Source organism: Homo sapiens, chromosome 1 (genome assembly GCF_000001405.40).
Source record: "Homo sapiens chromosome 1, GRCh38.p14 Primary Assembly".
Classification (NCBI taxonomy): Eukaryota; Metazoa; Chordata; class Mammalia; order Primates; family Hominidae; genus Homo; species Homo sapiens.
In genome coordinates, this window is record NC_000001.11 from 56,775,637 (window position 1) to 56,790,742 (window position 15,106).

Genomic DNA, 15,106 nt, shown 5'->3' on the forward strand with positions numbered 1-15,106 from the left:
TTGAATCCAGATATTTGAATCTGAAGTCTTAACCATTATGCTATATACCATCTTACACAGGGGATGTACTGGTTGAAGTCAAACATGGCATGAATAGATCACACCGTAATGGAAGTCATCAAAGAAAGAGGTCATCAGAGTATACAGCAAGGAGGATTCCAAAGGACTGACCAGACTATTAGCTAGAGACATAATGAGAGAAAAGTATGTCTGCTAGTGGTATAAAAGAGAAGCTCTCAGATTTCTCATTCATTAAGTTACATGCTATTATTCACTCTTCAAACAAACTATATTCATGTTAATTTTATATGCATTATCTCACATAATCCTCTCAGTAGCAGTATGAGGCATTCTACAGTTGAGGAAACTGAGGCTTGGAGATATTCAGTAACTTGCCCAAGATAGCACTGCTAAGTAGCAGAGGTGGGTCTGGAAACCACACCTTCTGATTCCTAGTCCATTGGTTCTCTCCTCTGCACTACAAGTCACTCTAGAACTGAGGGAAAACTGAAAAATGAAAATAATGAAGCACCAGACGATGGTGAAGGTCAAGGAGCCTGTGAGTGGGCTTTGGACAATATTTTTCCAACCTTTGTTAGGCTGACCCAAGAGTTCACAGATCAATTCTTTTATATATTAGTTATTTATATGGGGAAAATGTTATGGGGAAGTTCTTTTTCTTGTCTTTGCCTGACATTATCACCTATAAAATGAAAAATATTACCATTTAACCTATAATTTGAGGTTAAGGTGGAACCAGTGGATCAGGGTGAATTTGGGAATGACTTTCTAAAAGCACTTTGTCTTCTAAGTGTTTTAGGAAGTCACACAACAACTAAAGCAGACTCTTTTTTTTCCCATTCATCTAGGAACAAGATCTGATAAAGCAGATTCCTAATAAACCAGTCAAAACTTCAACAGCATGAAACAAAATGACCACGAGCCCTCATTTTGATCACTAGTCAAATTTTAAAATATCTTTGTTTCAAATTTCAGAGTGTCTTCTTTGAGGTGCACTAACATCTGACCCCATTTATTTTACGGAGAGGGAAGTGAGGTCACCCTCTGAACTAGTGGTAGGCTTTTAAATAGGAGCCTGGTCTCCTGACTGCCTGTTCTGCCACCTACAGCATTCGACCTTGATACAGACAAACACTGCTATTACAAACAAACAACAAATCTCTGCCATTTATTAAGAGCTTACAACATCGGAATTCCACTTTGCTGAATTAGAGATATTTATCTCAATCCTCACAACATCCCTGGGGGAAGGATTTGATTTCACTATTTCCTATATTAGAAAATAGAAGGCCCAGGCCGGGCGCGGTGGCTCACGCCTGTAATCCCAGCACTTTGGGAGGCCGAGGCGGGCGGATCACGAGGTCAGGAGATCGAGACCATCCCGGCTAAAACGGTGAAACCCCGTCTCTACTAAAAAATACAAAAAATTAGCCGGGCGTAGTGGCGGGCGCCTGTGGTCCCAGCTACTTGGGAGGCTGAGGCAGGAGAATGGCGGGAACCCGGGAGGCGGAGCTTGCAGTGAGCCGAGATCCCGCCACTGCACTCCAGCCTGGGCGACAGAGCGAGACTCCGTCTCAAAAACAAAAAAAAAAAAAAAAAAAAAAAAAAAAAAAAAAAGAAAATAGAAGGCCCAGAGATATCAAATAACTTTCCCAGGATCACACAGCTAGTGTGTGGAGCTCAAACTATGAATCCAAGGTTATCTGACTCCTAAATCAATGCCCTTAACTTCATGTAACATACTCCCTGGATCTTCTAATTTTTAATTCATTCAATTTAAACACACTTTAATTATGCAGCTGGTAAGAAAGAAATATTAGACCATCTCTCTGCTTTTGAAGAATTTATAATTTAGTCAGGGAAATGAGATACACCCAGGGAAACAGAAAATCACAAAAATAGACTGGATATACTTGAGTCTTAAGCCGAGTGCTGTCTAAGTCCATTCTATTCTTCAGCCAACATTTATTGAACAACTATTAAATGCTGTATGCCCCCTTCCCCATATACACCTTACCACTACACACTCTAATCATGTCAAATTACCCATAGTTCTTGAACACATGAGGCTGTTTCCTGCCTCTTCGCTTCTGTCCACGTTTCATCTGCTTATAATGACCTTATCACCAACATCCTCTGTGCAAACTCATATTTTTTCTCCTAAAATTCTGATTGTCATTATCCATGGCCCTTCTATAGTCTATTCTCCACACAGCAGCCAAGATGATCTTCTCAAAATATAATTCAGACCTTGTCACAATCCTGCTTAAGACTTTCCAGAGGCATCCTATGGTTTTTAATAATTTTTTTAAAAAAAGAACCACTAAGCTCTCCACCTTTATGATCTCATCCCTTCCCATGTCTCCAAGGTCCTGTACTACCATTCTCTTCCTCACTCATCACTCTCCAATCACACTGGCCTCCTGTCTACTTTACAAGGATGCAGTGCTCTCTACTACCTCGAAGACTTGGCAAAGGCTGCTCCTGCTATGTAGAATGGTTTCTGTATGACCAACTCTTTCTCAACCACCAGGTCTCACCTCTGTCCCCTTTGGCAAGGCCCTTCTTCAGCCAACTTTCCCAAACAGCCCTCCTTCCCACCTATTTCTGTACACCACAATACTTGTTGTATACCCTTCTCAGTCACTGTTATAGTCTTGAAATTACTTTATTACTCTTTGTAACTAGTTTAATTTTCTCTCTCTTGCTCTGGGATCTTGAATATCACTTGCTGCTCAGTACCCATTGCCTCATCCAGTGTCTGGCACATTGTAGGCTCCCAGTTAGCAACTGGTTTTTTGTTTTTATCCTTTTCTGATGCTCATACAAAAACACTGGGAACTCTTTGACAGGTAGATGATGTCACATCATTAATTTTTGTCATTGAGCTCCCCCTCTCTGTCAGGTACTGTTCTAGAATATAAAAATAAATAGCAGTCAATGTCCTTAAACTCAGGGTTCTCATGGTCTAGAAAAACATAAAAAATAAATCAATCAAATGAATATTATCAATCAAAGCATTCATAAAAAATAACAGGAAAATAAAGCAGAATCATATATGAAATAGCGTCTTGGGTGAGGGAACACGTGCTATAGCCAGGAAAGCTGACATTTCAGCATATATCATTGCCTCATACCATATTTGTTATTTATTTTTCTTCCCAACTAAAATATATACTTAATGAGGGCAGACACTTTGTGTTCATTTCCTGCCGCATTTCCAGCATCTAGAAAAATGGCGGGCACATAGTTGGAGTTCAATAATTATTGAATGAATAAATAAAAAATGAATTCTGCATGACGAGAAGGAGCCATCAGGTGACGATCTGGGAGAAGATGACACACACAAGAAAATATAAGTACTTCTGATTGGTCAGGGAAGTTTGTTGTGTTTGATGATTAGCCAAAGGCCAGTCCATGGGTGGAAGACAGCAAACAAGGGTGAGAGGGCTTAGGAGAGGAGTTTGGAGAATAACCAGTGATCAAAACCCATAAGAAACCTATAAGAATATATATAGGTATAAAGAAGTATAAGGAAGCATATTCTTGGCCCTGGGAAAAGTACAACATTTTTGAATTTTATTCCAAATATAAAATGGATGCTAAGAGCTCAATGATTAGTTTAATTAAATATTTAATTCAAAAACTAATGAGTCCAAAGAAGAGGAGAGAAGAAAGGAGCGTGCCTCTCATGTGGGCTAATAAATCAGAACAAGCTTCTTGGTAGGGTGTCACTTGGAGCTGAACGCTAGACCAAGAAGGAGCAAAGGAAAGAGGATCTCATGTGAGTCCCCGCTCTCACATGGCAGTAGCCCTTACCTAATATGCAAGGGCAAAGGAAGTGCTCAGATTGTCCTAATTAGTTAGCTTTAATATTCGAGGGATATAATATTGGACATGCAAACCAAGGCAAAATGTATACAGAACAGAATCTTGAAATGTTTTATTTACATAAAAGCTAGTGGAAGATGATATCATTCTTTCCATCCATCCTTCTCCCCATCATTTTGTTTATCTGTTATTCCACTGGCCCATCACTCAGTCATTCGATAATTATTGCTTTCATGCCCACTGTTTACTAGGTCTTGTAAAAATAAAGGTGAAAAATATATATGATCCTTCTTTCATGGAATTTGCAGTCTAATAGGTATCTCCAAAAGCACTTCATGGTGGAAAAATTCTGGCTGAGTCAGAATAACGTAGCTGAAAATCTTTAATTTGGTTCTGAGTTCATATCCCAAATAAACTCTGAAACAGGGCAAGCCATGGTTTCTCACCTATAAAATGACAATACTAATATTGTGTATATTCACTAATGTTCAATATTCAATATACTAATACTAATAATAATATTGCCATTTTATAGGTGGCAATTAGTATTGCCTCCTAAGATAGTCATTGGTCTAGAATGAGTCTAACAGATATAAAAGGGCTCAGCAATGCTCAGCATGTGGTCATACACAAACAGTAGTTTCTATTCAACCTTACTAAATAAACCTTTGTACAAAACTAGGCCCCAAGTCTGCAACTTGTGATTGTCTGTTTCTTTCTCAATCATGACTTTTCTGGCTTATCATCTGAATGCCACTGAAGAGAAAAAGCAAGGCTTAGTTCCAAAACCTTTCATATTTTAGCTCCACCCTAGGCCAGCCTCCCTCACACAGATCCCTCTGCACAGAAAATGAAATCCTAAGGCAGGCGTTCAAGAACACCTGCTCAAAGCATATCCAGGCTCGATGTGTAGAGCAAGCCATGAGTCTATTAAGCCTTGCCCTCTTTTGTTGTAGGTAAAGTGTTGTTTGAATCCTCATTAAGGCAGCCTGGGGTGATAGTTGAGAGGCTGTGCTCTGGATCCAGGCTGACCAGGTCAAGCCCTGGTGCTGCTGATCCAGTTGCATCACCCTGGATGACTTCACCTGACTCTCCATGGTCAGAGAGCGCACAAAGCACTTACTGTACTTCATGGGTGGTTGTAGCTGGGAGTTGTAAAATGAGAGAGAGGACATAAGGTACAACTCTTTATCTATGGAAAGTGCTCAATAAATAGAAGTTATAGGTGAGATTTTTTTTTAAGGAGGAATATTTGAAAACAAAAAAGAAGAGAAAAACTCAGTAAATTCACTGCTCCTTGTGAAAAACAGGCCAATCAGTGGCCCTGTTGTGTCCCTGAAGTCCAATTAAAAAGGGATAATAAGAAATTATTGAAGTGGCTTAAGCTGAAACTACCTGAATGTTCTGAGTCTGAAACTCTACAGGCAGGACACAGGCTTCAAAAAATTCATTCTCTTCATTCTTTCCTGTAGCGATTCAATTTATCCCAGCGTGCTGGGACTTCCTGGCCTGCTTTCACCTCTTGAATATCACCACAAGGAGGCTGTTTTGTTGTTCGTCAATCAGGTCAGGTCTGTACCAGTCTTAATTACCTGAAGTGCAGCCATTCAGGAAAGAGCACTGTAGTTGCAAACAATTTTAAAACTAGCCTTAAGTGATTCTGTTGTACATGTACAAAGGCACAATGACATGCTTTTTGTTGTTGCTGTTATTAAGTAGAAAACAAGCTCAAAGTCCTTTCAGGAAGGATCCTTCTTGTCTTGCACTGATTTTGTGCTAAGCACTTCACCTGTGTTAATATCAACAATGATGGGAACAGCAAATAACCTCCATATTGTCCTAGATTCCTCTCTTTCCCTCACATCTCACTCCCCACAGCTGATCCAGCAATTGCTGTTTTCCTTCCAAACAAATCTTTAATCCGTCAACTTTTTTATTTCATTTTGACTACCCTGTCCGTGTTAAGTTACTTAACTTCTCTGTGACTCAGTGTCCTCATCTATAAAATGGGACAGTACTATCTGCTCCTTAAAATTGTCATAAATGAAATCATGTATAAAGTACTTAGAATAAACACTGAGTGTGTGTTGCTAGTTTTACAGTGGTTGCTGTAATGGCTTTCCAGGACGTCTTTCTGTTTCCACCTTTTCCCATGAAATTTATTATTTATACAGCATCCAGAATGATCTTTACAAAAGAAGTGTCAGCTCATGTCACTTCCTGGCTTAAAACTCTCCAATGTCTTCCCAATGCATTTAGAGCAAAATCCAAATTACTTCCACAGCTCACAAGATACTCCACCTCCATTTCCTGAGCTCACTGCACTTTAGCCAAGATTCCAACCCCTTTCTCCTTTAAAATGTCCTAAGCGTGGTTCTCCCTTTAGTCTTTGTGCCAGTTATTTTCTTTCCTGGGATGTTCATCTCCTAGATCTTCCTTTAACTGGGCTGGGTCCTTATTCAGTTCTCAACTCAATGCTACTATCTCAGAGAGGTCTTTCTTTGATCGATTTATAGTAGATGTACATATTTTCAGGGTAATATGATATTTTAATACATTCGTACGATGTGTAAAGTTCAAATCAGGGTGATTGAAATATCTATCACAATTTTCTTTATGTTAAGAACATTCAAATTATTCACTTCTAGCTATTTTGAAATGTACAATAGATTATTGTTAATTATTGTCACTCTACTGATCTATCGAACACTAGTTCTTATTTCTTCTATTTAACTGTTTAATTGTACCCATTAATCAATCAGAGAGGCCTTTCTTGACCATCCTAAGCTTTATTTCACTCTCAAACTCTCATTATTATCCTAATACTCTTAAATTTTTGTTTATAGTACTTATTACGATGAAAATAAGTACTGTAAATGCATTTTTTTGGTTACAGTGTTGTTGTAATCATCATTATTTTACTTGAAGGCCTTTGATAAGGCATCTATTCCTCACTTCCACAGGATCAGCCACTCCCCACTGCCTGACACGGGTCCTAGAGACAGTCACATGATCTGCCCAGCCCTAGAAGACATTGTGTTTCCCACTCTGCTTGGGGTAGAAACTGCAAAAACACAAATACAAATATGTGTTTCCAAGTACTAGGCATAAAAGAAGTCATCGGAAAGATTCAAAATAAGCTTATCAGCTTTTAATAAAAGCTGATAGACTTATTTTAAAAGCTTATGAGCATTTAAAGACTATCATCAAAGTGAAAACACAAAATTAAAAACTTCAAGAGAGAAAATGGTAAACTCTTGAGAATTCACCCACAGACCCTCCCCTAAGAAACACTGCTGTCATCTTCCTACTCCCAAAATAAACAGCACCTCCTTTATGTGTCTGAGTCAGATTCCCTGAATCAGGACTATCTCTGACACTTCTTAATGAGAGAAAAGCCATATTTATAGCTAATGAATAAAATATTAGCCAACTCTGCTAAGTACTGACAGAGACCAGTGCTGATTGCTGCCCTGGGACTAATCTACTTTGCTCACACAAATAGGGACTGCTTATTCAAGAGGGATGCCAGCCAGCTTGGTTTGCATAAAAGAGTGATGACAAAGAATAATCTCCAAAGAGCCATCTCACTGTTGGAAACTAATGAGACATTAATATTTCAGAGGTAACAAGGGATGGAGAGGCCAAGGTTTAGAGAAACTGAGACTCATTGAGTTTGTGTTTTCCATGCTTGATATAATTTATCTCACTTGGCTTTGATGACAATAAAGTAAATAATAATATTGTGCCCACTTTACAGATGTGTGTATCGAAGATCTGAGCTGTTAAATGGCTTGTCTAAGGTATGGAAGAGGGGTTTAAATCTATGCCAATGTGACTTTAGAACCTGCACTTGTTCCTTTATACAATGTCACCTCTCATGTTTTAGACACAAAGAGGTCCAGAAATGAAAGATGGCTATTGTAAGTGTGCTGGGTTAAGATGATTAAAATATGTATATATAGAAATACAGCTAGAACACAAAGACTCCTGTTTTATACATTATGGTTGAAAATAATGAGAGTTTTAATTTAGAGAAGAATGTAGTCTTTAGATGTTTTAAGAATTGTCACATAAAGAGGGGGTAAATATGATGTCTGTTGTACCAAAGAGTGTATCTTAGACATACGGTTGAGAGTTTGGGTAGGGAGGTCTATTCTTTTTCCAGATCAACTTGAAGGACTTTGAAATAAATAAATAAACAAAGAAGCGTGTGTGTGTGTGTATGCATGTTATTTTATTTTGTACACTGCTATATTTTCAATGTATGTAAATGTTTGGCCCATAGTGGATGCTCAATAAATACATGTTGAATGAATAGAATTGGCTCTGATGAAGAAAAATATAAGGCTCTCAAGGTGTTGAGCTCCTCATCAATGAATTTTTGAAGAGACTAAAGTTCTGAGCATAGATTCTTGCCCTTGCTGGGAGGTTACATAACAGCTAAGCAAGGTTTATTGAACACTCTCTAGATGCTAGGCCCTGCCCTAAACACTTCAAGATCATTATTTTATTTACCCTCACCACACTAGTATGAGTTAGGTAATAACAACATCATCATTTCACAAAAGTAGAAACTGAGTAGATCTTAAGATGTAGACCTTTAAGATGATTAAAATACATATCCAAAGAAATACAGCTAGAACACAAAGACTCCTGTTTTATACATTATGGTTGAAAATAATGAGAGTTTTAATTTGGAGAAGAATGTAGTCCTTAGATGTTTTAAGAATTTTGCAGAAGTTTTTTTTCTGTTTTAAGGTTTGCAGAAGCTAAAGCATTTTCCCAAGATTACACAGATGTTAAGTTCTAGGGGTGGGATCAAAACCCAGGCTTTCATTAACTTTGTGCTATGTGGCTTGGCTACATGAGATTATCAGCACATTCCCTTCCAGTAATGAGAGCCTACGTATACCATTTATAATTTAATCTCTGAATTGAAGATTAATACCTTGATCATGGATGATATTCTTCCCAAATGAGCACCAGTTTCCAGGGAAGTTATAGTTAAAGCTATTGCACATTATGACATTTACTTGTTCAAACTCACTTATCATTGGCAAGATAAAGTCTCAACTTTTTACCATGGCACTTAATGCATTTTAGGATCCAACCTCATCTCTTAATTTTATACATTAGAATATTTTTTGTCTGTGTATTTCCTTCTCTTTAGAGTCTCCTTTTGTCTGTTTATTTCCTTCCCAACCTCCTTGCTTTCAAACATGTTCTATCTCTATAATAAAAATCCATTGGTCTGTCTATCTGTTTGTCCATCTGTCCATTCATTCATCCACCCATCAACTACATCTCAGATCAACTACATGTCAGAACGGTGTTTATATCAGGGAACAATACCCTGCCTTACCACTTGATAGTCTCACAAAAGAGAACACATAAGTAAACCTATCTAATTCGTACCTATTATGCAGGATACAGGCCCAGTTCTTTCATCTCCCATGAAGGTGCCCTAAGTTTTCTGGCCCCTCTTTATCTCTTTTGCCTGTCACTCTTTCAGCGCTATGGCCCACATCATAATCACTGTTTAGTGAAACCTCATTTCAGACGGAGGTTAGCTTCCAAAATCAGCATGAAAGGACAGAACAGTCAAAATGGCCCCTGTAAATCCCTTAGGAAGATGGTGCCATGTGGAGACTGACTAATGGGCCATCACAGCAAGTTTATCCTCCATGTTGAAACAGATTGCCGTTTCTTTGATTTAAATGCCAGAGAAGAGGTCAGCTTAGATTAGAACCAATCTGTAGGAAAAATGTGTATCTAGTTAAACACAGCAGTCACCTTACACTCAATCCTACTGAGATGCTCACAATATGAAAGAACAAAGAGCAAGTGAGAGCACAGCAGAACACTGTCCCTTCACACTGTCATACTGGGACCTATGTTCATTGAGTAAACGGTGCAAACCATTGCCTGAGCCAGTTAGATTATTCTCTCTCTTTCACATAAATACGCATAGAACACGTCTCCACTGACCTGTCTTGTGCTGTCATTTAACTCTTTCAAAGGGATGACTAACCCAGGAGTTCCCAGAGCACATGAATTGCGTCTAACACCACACTACCAGTTCCTTGTTGAATAAGATTGTCTTATCAATTCCCTGTTGTACAAGATCCTCTGTGATGTGGTTCCTGTTTACCTCTATAATCCCGTTTCTATACCATTTCTATACTTTCTACACTCTAAGTGTACTTATTTCTAGTTTCCACAAATTAAACATGTTGCTTCACACCTCCTGCCTCTACCTAGAGTGTCCCTTCCCATGCTGTGCTGCAAATGTGCATCTTCAGTACTCATTTCAAATGTTTCCTCTTCGGGGATAGGTTGACTGGATCAATACCCCATTCTTCACTCCTTCCTGCATCCCTGCTTTTTGCCATGAAACTTTCAGCACCCTCCCACTCTGCTTCTGGGCTTGGCCATATTACTTGCTTGGACCAATAAGATGTCAGCAACTGCAACACAGTAAAGGCTTGAAAAGTACTGGTGTGATTGGGCTTGTCTTGCTTGTTAGCAGCGACTGTAGGAGAGTGCCCCTGGGCTAGCTTGCTGGATGAGGAGAGACAGATGGTGCCAAGTCAAGGTGCCCACCATCCCAGCCAACACAATCCTAGATCAGCCAACTGTTAAGCTTCCCCTCAACATGTGAGCCACCCCAGCCAATATTGCAAAGTTGCCTAGATAGCCTGCAGTCTACTGCAAACATATGAGCAAACCCAGCTGACCCCAGCCCAGATCAGCTGTACTCCACAGACTCATGTATGCTATGAAAGTTTTTTGGTTATTATGTAGCATTACTCTAGCAATGGAGAACTGATACTTCTTTAAAGACTTCCTTGACCCTCCCAAGAAGATGTAACAACTTCCTCCTTAGTGCAGCCTCTGAATCTTGTCCTTTCCTCTATTACAAAACTTAACACACTTTACCATTGTAAACATTTGATAAAGGAATAAGTAATATGATTATTTATTGTTAAGTTTGGATCTCCTTCTGAGACTAACCTTTTTGAGAACAGGAACATCTTTGTGTGGGAGGTGAGGTATATAATCAGTGTAGTTATGGCACATCTGGGTTGGAATCATGGCTCAGCAAGTGGCAAACTTTCTGAGCCCAAGTATCTTGAGCTGTAAAATGTGAGCGGCAGCAGCAACTGTGCAGCCCTCTTGAGAGAACAGAATGAGAAATCTGTATAAAGTAGCCAGTTGAGTGCCTGACACATCAAAGGTCTCAATAGATATTATTTGGTTAAGTGAGTTAAATGAACTGACACTTCTGTGGCAAAATTCTTAGAAGGAGTACACCAAAAATAGAACATCCTTTATCCTATTACCAATTCCTAACATCACACCAGCTGCCCAGAGCATTCTTTAGCCTCTAATTCAATTTATGACTATGAAGGGTGATGTTTCAATTTACTGAACCCAAGTGTGTAATAAAAAAAGGACCTCTGAGGACTATCTTTGCAACTTAACATCAGTACGTGTTAAATGCAATTTATTTAATCTTTTCTTTACAACAAAAGTTACACTTTGTTGCTTATAAGTTCACTGCTTCTGAAACCCTTCTGAGAAATACAGATTCTTGGTTTGTGCTAATTGCCTGCTCTGGAGCAGTCTAAGTAGCCTCTGTGGTGGGCTACGTTCCTACACAACTAAGGAGCATGTACTTACCTCTCTGGAGACAGGGAGCCCTCTTCCACAGTCACTGCAAGAGAAAGAGGCGGAATGAAAAAGAGGCATTTGCAGCAGCCTGGTTAAAGTGAATGATGCTTGTGTGATGACTTGATCCCACAGATAATGTGGAGAGTGGAAGCTTGCCTGTGCCTGAAACATCCCTTACCTCCACCCCAGCACCCAGGGGATGCCTGTCCCTGCATTGCAGCACTCACCCACACTTTACAGTACAATTTCTTATTTATGGGTACAATCTCTTGCATTAGACTTTGACCTCCTTAAAGACCAGAACCCCTGTGGGGTTTATCTCTTAATCTCTCATTTCCATCACAGGACATGGTACAGAGATTATAGCTGCTCAATGTTTGTTTCAAATAAACTTGGACATTTACAGAGCACTTCCTGGTATACCAAGCACTATTTAAGCCCTTTCCGGGCATCATGTCTCATTATCCTCACAATAATCCTAAGAGATCAGTGGTATCCCCATTTTACAGATAAGGAAATTATCCCTATTTTATAGATAAGGAAAATGAGGCTCAGTGATTAACAAACCCAAACTTAAATAGCTAGTGAGTTCAGAAGCTGGGATCTACAAAGCCCATTTTATGGCAAAAGACTTAGTACTTTGTTCTATGTTGCTGACAAACCTTCTTCTCATTCAGAGAGAATATTTGAGGCCTGAATTATTTAATGTTTATAAAAATCACACTTATCCTTCTTTGATTTGGAGCTGTCCATATCAGTAAAGTATACTTATAAGAGCCTATCTCCCCATATAGAATTTTCTTTTAGGATAAGACTTAAGATGACTTGTAGCAGTGGTTCTCAAAGTGTGGTCCATGGACCAGCAGCCTCAGCAACCTCTGGGAACTTGTTAAAAGGCAAATTATCAAGCTCCAACTCAGACCAACTGAACCAGAAACTGAGAATGGAGCCCAGCAATCTATGTTTTAAAAAGTCCTCTAGGTGATTCTGATGTACACTCAAGTTTGAGAATCATGAAGTCAGAGTAATTTAACCATGAAGTTGCCCAAAGCAGTTAAAATGAACAAAGACTGTGTTAGCTGTCTCAGTGTACCTGCCATCTGCTGGTGCTGATGGCCACAGTAAAACAAATGTTAGCACAGCAGTACATTTTGTCCCAAAGTGTATGTTCATCTTGTGTTTCATTAGAGCAAACATAAGCTAAGGCATTTAAAATGTCAACAAGATCAGATTGTGGTGGGAGTGGTGAGGGATGAGAGGTGTTCCTTTAAATAGAAGAAGACACAAAATAGCACAGAAAAATGGCTTCCAAAGATGTTTCAGTTTCTGGAAGGGATCAGAGGGTTGGGGGTTGCAGGCTTTCAGTTAATTACCAAAAGCAGATTATGGAGGCCTGAGGGGCTCCCCCTAAGGATTTCAGGTCAAGTTCACACTGACTTTCTCCCTTTTCACTCCCTCCCCACTTCTCCTGCACAAATGGATTGTGTTGACAACACAGGTTTGCAGGAAACACAAAGGTTCAGTGACTCCCTGCTCAGCGACTTTCTGTTTTCTTCCTCTTGGACAGATTCCCAGTGATCAAATGCAGTGCTCTCAGGGGAAGTGGGCTGGTCTAGGAGCGATAAAGGGCCAATTCCCACAGAGACATCGTTTCATGGGCAAGCTGCCACAGCCTCTAGATGAGAATAAGCAGTGATGGATGTCCAGCCTCATGGAAAAGCAGCAGCGGCATCGTCACCTGGGAGAGGATGTGGAGACGGAGGTGACTCCTGGTTGGCCTTGTGTAGGGCCCTGTGCATTTCCTTACCTTCCCCCTGAGTCTTGGGAACAGCAGCTGGCTGCCTCTGAAAGGCCTGGAGGTTCACGATGGGAGGTCTTGAAGGCTTTGGGGGAGGAGGACCCAGGGAGTCGATGGAGGGCAATGGCTTTGTTTTGGGAAGGTGGTGATGCCTGACATCTGGCTGTTTTTCTGAACACAAGACAGTAAAAAATGTAAGTTATGATTATTTTCATTTCATAGCTTGTGGGTAAAACTGGTTTCCTTGCCTCCATCTAAGTCCCGTCCAATCTATTCTCCACCCAACAGCTAGAGTGCCCTGATCAATACATAAACCTGATCAGTTGCCATGCTGCTGCTTTAAGGATTTCCTCAGCATGACATTGGTTACTCCATCTCTGCCATTTCTACACCACACAGCACCCATCTGTGTTTCTAGATTCTTTGTTTGGCATATTATATGTCTTGCTTCCCCCCACTTAAAGCCCAAATATTTTTCACACACATCACTGGCTTCTCCATTCTCCGTATTTGATTTAGATAGCCTTAAAAAGCTCTCATATATCCAAAATTTTGTTCATGTTTTTCTTGGTTCTGGAACACTTTTCCCTTTCTTGGCAAACTTCAATTCATTCTTTTAAGGCTCTGCTCCAATGACACCTCCTCTAGAAAGCTTTTCTTGATTTCTCACAGGAATCAAGGCCAGAATCAACCTCTGATTTGTATCCCTGTAGCACATTGTTAATACCCTTACATCAATATCATGGCACATTGGAGGCACTGGTCTATGTTCCCATTTAACAAAGGCTTCTGTGGGTGGGGATGGTTTTGTATTGATCCCCCAGCACCAAGCACAGGGCCTACCTCATAGGAGAGAGGCTGTGACTATTTACTGAAAGTGTTCTTCAAGCACTTATGACATGCAAATAAGTGGCTCTATAAAAAGGAATAAGAATTGATCTGGGATTTCCAGGGCTCATAGCCTAGGACTGGCTTCAAGGCTGACTTTGTGATATCTGGGCACCTGTGTCCTGGAATTTTCCAGGAAAGTTCCAATTTTACATATATTTGTCCTCTGCAGTCTTAAATCCAACTCCAACAGAAAGTCCAATATTATATATGAAAATCATATCTGCCCTTTACAGTGAAAATAGCACAAAATCTTATGTAATCCAACTGCTTTGATTTTTCATTTATGTAAGACAGTAGTTGACTACATGGGCCATTCATGTGAAAACTTAAGAAGTGGCCTAGCATTTTGCATATACTCCTGGGAGACTTCCTGCTCTCCTCCACAAGCTGGAAGGGAGGGAAAGCTTCCTTATTGCTCCACCCACAGCGGGTTACATCCCCAGAAACTCGGGCCCAAAGTTCCTCTCTTCTTAGGCTTGAATTACAAGTAGCGTTGTCAAAAACTTCAGTCATTATCAAATTAGGAAGAAGACATAGTGAATACTAATTATCACTAATTGGGCTCAGAGTTTTTACCAGGCACTGTGCTAAGTAGTTTACATCCGTTATCTCACTTAACTTTCTCAGTAGCTCCATCTGGTAGATAATACATTCTTCTTTCCTTTCTCTCATCCATCTTTCTTCCCATACATCTTTCTTCCCATCTGTCTTTTCTTCTTCCTCATCCCTTCATCAATAACTATTTATTTACTATATTCCAGGTATTGTTCTAGGAAGTGGGGATAGAGTTGAGAACAAGAACATGTATATTCCTACCTTCAGGAATTTTTATTCTAATAACAAGAGACTGATGATAAACAAGTAAACAAATAAACAAGAGCATTACAG

At 39.7% G+C, this 15,106-nt stretch overlaps 1 protein-coding gene across 18 annotated transcripts in view, besides 1 other annotated feature; it reads right to left on the bottom strand.

Moving 5' to 3' along the window:
• FYB2 (FYN binding protein 2) overlaps nucleotides 1–15,106 on the bottom strand; it is a 108,126-nt gene that overhangs the window by 56,848 nt on the left and 36,172 nt on the right. For all 18 annotated transcript variants that reach the window (XR_007095697.1, XR_007095698.1, XR_946570.2 and 15 more), the window contains 2 exons: nucleotides 13,337–13,498; nucleotides 11,539–11,572 (listed from right to left, as the gene is read on the bottom strand). Coding sequence is in view for 13 of the 18 variants with exons in the window: in XM_047448402.1 (XP_047304358.1) it covers nucleotides 11,539–11,572; nucleotides 13,337–13,498 (196 nt within the window). In the remaining 5 variants the exon portion in view is untranslated. The remainder of the gene's footprint in view (nucleotides 1–11,538; nucleotides 11,573–13,336; nucleotides 13,499–15,106) is intronic.
• Nucleotides 4,436–4,605: an enhancer, noted in NCBI's record as "experimental_8694 CRE fragment used in MPRA reporter constructs". NCBI's record gives its function as "activates a minimal promoter by MPRAs in K562 erythroleukemia cells, with activity observed for both the introgressed and non-introgressed 1:57245830 variant alleles {active_cell/tissue: K562}" and the evidence as "EXISTENCE:reporter gene assay evidence [ECO:0000049][PMID:34662402]".